This window comes from Homo sapiens, chromosome 2, assembly GCF_000001405.40.
Source record: "Homo sapiens chromosome 2, GRCh38.p14 Primary Assembly".
NCBI lineage: Eukaryota > Metazoa > Chordata > Mammalia > Primates > Hominidae > Homo > Homo sapiens.
Window position 1 is genome coordinate 230,980,452 of NC_000002.12, and position 3,916 is coordinate 230,984,367.

At 47.3% G+C, this 3,916-nt stretch overlaps 1 annotated feature.

The window, feature by feature from the left end:
- Window positions 1,299–1,438: an enhancer, noted in NCBI's record as "active region_17272". NCBI's record gives its function as "activates an Ori minimal core promoter by ATAC-STARR-seq in GM12878 lymphoblastoid cells {active_cell/tissue: GM12878}" and the evidence as "EXISTENCE:reporter gene assay evidence [ECO:0000049][PMID:35858748]".

Here is a 3,916-nt window from a genome sequence, read left to right on the forward strand (position 1 = left end):
TTCACATAAACAAAGAACAACAACAACAATAAAAAGGTGAAAGACTGTTTCAGATGAAAAGAGACTGAAGAGCCATAACAACCAAATATCATACATGATCTTGATTGGATCCTGGATAGGAAAAAAAAATCCAGCATTAAAAGCTCTTCCGGGGACAACTGTAGAGATTTGAATACAGATAGTACACTGGGTGCTATTATGGTTGTGATCATGGTATTGTGGTTTTGTGGGAGAATATCCTTATTAGGAGATGCTGAGATATCTAGAAGTGAAGTGTCAAGATGTCAGCAACTTGCTTTCAAATTGCTCAGCAAAATAAAAGTATGTGGAAATATACAAAGACAGAGAGAGACCAACAGAGACAAAGCAATTGTGGCAAAATGTTAACAGTTGGAGAATCCAGGGTAAGTTCATTGTACTCTTCTTTGAACTTTTCAGAATGTTTGAAAATTTCAAAATAAAATGTGAGGGGGAGGGGAGGGAGTTGCAGGGTGGATAGAGAAGGTTGGGATAGAGCTAGCTGCCAGACCCAAACCATCTGCCACCAACACAGGGAGTTTAAAATGGCCCTCTAAATTACAATAGACTCATCTTCGTTTTGAAATCTTCCTAGGACGGGTGCAGAGGCTCATGTCTGTAATCCCAGCTACTCAGGAGTCTGAGGCACAAGAATCACTTGAACCTGGGAGGCGGAGGTTGGAGTGAGCCTCGATCATGCCACTGCACTCCAGCTGGGGTGACAGAGCAAGACTCTGTCTCAAAAAAAAAAAAAAAAAAAGAAAAAGAAAAACAGAAATCTTCCTAAAAGGAAGAGAAAGCTATACTACACTTTCCTCGAACCTCAAAGCCCCCACTGCTTATAGAAACTTTGAACCCAGTACCCACTGGAAAATAATGAATGGGAAACACACCTGGTAAACACAGTCCAGGTAGAGAGGAAGAGCCTCCCGATGCCCCCAGCCCTGGGTAGGAATCACCAAACCCTACCCCCCAGTTACCAGGCCTGTGAAGCCTCTGGCTTGTCCCAGCTTTGCACTCTTATGGGGAGGGGTGGGGAGAGCCCATCTACCACGCCCGTGTGTCTCCTGTCTTATCATCTAGGACATTCTTACATGGACCTCAGGCACTACTGGGGAAGGCTTTATTCCTTTTCAACACCATCCTCACTCAAAACTGCATTCCTTCATTCATTTGCTTATTTATTCAATGATTTGGCAAGTATTTATTGAACACCAGTGATGCACGAGGCACTGTTTTAGGAACCAGGGACACGACAAGGAATAAGCAGCCGTGGCATCTGTCTTCTGCGGAGCTCACAGGCAAATTGCAACTGTGACAAGTACCACAAAGGGGAGGAACAAGGTGCCCATCAAAGCTGGTGGCATTTGTGTGACAAGCAGGAAATACAATCAACAGGCTTTGGGGATGGGCTGGGTTTGGCGGACGATGAGAAGGAGTGTCAAGAGACACTCCCAGGGTTCTGACTAGTATAATTGGACAGGCAGTGGTGTTCTTCACCAGGACATCCTGGAAGAGGCCTGCAGTGGAGAAAGAGGCGACTCACACCCATGCAGGCCACGGGAGCACAGGTCAGGCACGGAAAGGAGAGGCCTGGGATGTGGTGTGGGTGGGTGGATTGCCTGTGGATTGGTGGTTATGGAAGTTATGTGTAGCAGGGGCCTGTTTTGCGCCTCCACCAGAAACTTCTGCCACTCCCAGGAGGACCACACAGAAGGTCTTCAGTCTCATGCAATTTCCTTTGATTTTGCTCATCTTTGTGCTCAGGAGCAGATCTGGGTCGCATCCTATCCCCCAGGTGACAAGGCTCATCTGGCCTGCTAGCCAGGAGGGTGCCTTTCCTTTGCCTCCAAAAGCAAAGTGGTGGGGGTGGGGGAGGGAACAGCTTGGCAACACAGATACACGTGCACACACACACGCACTCATATGCCTGATCTTTTTCTTTTAGGATTTGCTACCCTAGAGGTGTCTGATTAGCTTTACAAAGGTTAGAGATCATTTTATTTTGCCCAAATTTAGTCAAGGGAAAGCCCAGTGCAATTCGCCCTCAGTTACCCCCTGGTTCCACATCCAAGATTTCAATCAACCATGGATCAAAAATATTTGAAAAAAGAAAAGCAATTTAAAAATAACAACAGGCCAGACACAGTGGCTCACACCTGCCATCCCAGCACTGTGGTGGGAGGATCACTTGAGGCCAGGAGTTTGAGACCAGCCTGGACAACACATAATGAGATCACAGCTCTACAAAAACCAAAAAAACAAAAATTAGCCAGGTGTGGTGGCACGAACCTGTAGTCTCAGCTACTCGGCAGGCTGAGGTGGCAGGATAGCTTGAGTCCAGGAGTTTGAGGCTGCAGTGAGCCATAATCATGTCACTACACTCCAGCCTGGGCAACAGACTGAGACCTCATCTCCAAATTTTTTTTTTAATAATAGCAACAATAGGCCAGGCACGGTGGCTCACATCTGTAATCCCAGCTCTTTGGGAGGCTAAGGTGGGAGGATCATGAGGTCAAGAGATCGAGACCATCCTGGCCAACATGGTGAAACCCCATCTCTACTAAAAATACAAAAATTAGCTGGGCGTGGTGGCATGCACCTGTAGTCCCAGCTCCTCAGGAGTCTGAGGCAGGAGAATCGCTTGAACCTGGAAGGCGGAGGGTACAGTGAGCCAAGATCATGCCACTGCACTCCAGCCTGGCGACAGAGCGAGACTCTGTCTCAAAATAATAATAATAAATAACACAAATTTTAAAACTAATACAGTACAATAACTATTTACACAGCACTTACATTGTATTAGGTATTACAAATAATCTAGAGATGATTTAAAGTATACAGGAGAATGTGCATAGGTTATTTACAAATACTATGCCATTTTATATCAGAGACTTGGACATCCTTGAATTTTGGTACCTGCAGGAGTCCTGGAACCAAACCCTTTAGGATACTGAGGGACAGCTATAATTGCCCTGGAAAATGGAACCCTTCCCCCAACTCCCATCCCCCACAGTCTCCTAAAAACAAGACATTTTTGGTACAAGTATATTTTATGTGGAACGTATCAACAGGATGGAGTCCCACTTCCAAATGGACACAGGGCAATACGGAGCACAACAGGGCATGTGTGGAAGAAGTGTCCTGGGGGTGCAAACCCTCGGGAATTAAAAATGGGATTGGGAGGTGTATTTGTTCCTGGGGGCTCCTGCAGCAGATGACCTCAAACAGCAGAAACTTACTCTCTTACAGCTCTGATGGGCCAAGGGTCCAAGATCAAGGTGTCAGCAGGGCCACACTCCCTCTGGAGGCTCTAAGAAGAGTCTGCTCCTGCCTCTTCCAGGCCATCCTGGCTTGTGGCTGCAACTCTCAAGTCGCTGCCTCTGCCTTCACATGGCCTTCTCCTCTTCCATCTCTGTGTCTCTCCTCTGCGCGTCTCATATAAGGACATTCATCCTGGGATTTACAATCCGTCCAAGATAATGATCCCAAGAATCATTTCATCTCAAGATCTTTAACTTGAACCGGGCACAGTGGCTCATGCCTATAATCTCAGCATTTTGAGAGGCCGAGGCAGGTGGGTCACTTGAGCCCAGGAGTTCAAGACCAGCGTGGGCAACTTAGGGAGACCTCGTCTCTACAAAAAATACACACAAAAAATTAACCAGGAGTGGTGGTGTGCAACCCTAGTCCCAGCTACTCGGGAGGCTGAGGCCAGAGGATCGCTTGAGCCTGGGAGGTTGAGGCTGCAGTGAGCCGTGATTGTGCCACTGCCTTCCAGCCTGGATGACACAGTGAGACCCTATCTCTCTCACACACACACACACACACACACACACACACACACACGATCCTTAAGACCAGCCTGGGCCACATAGGGAGCTCCACACAGAGCAGG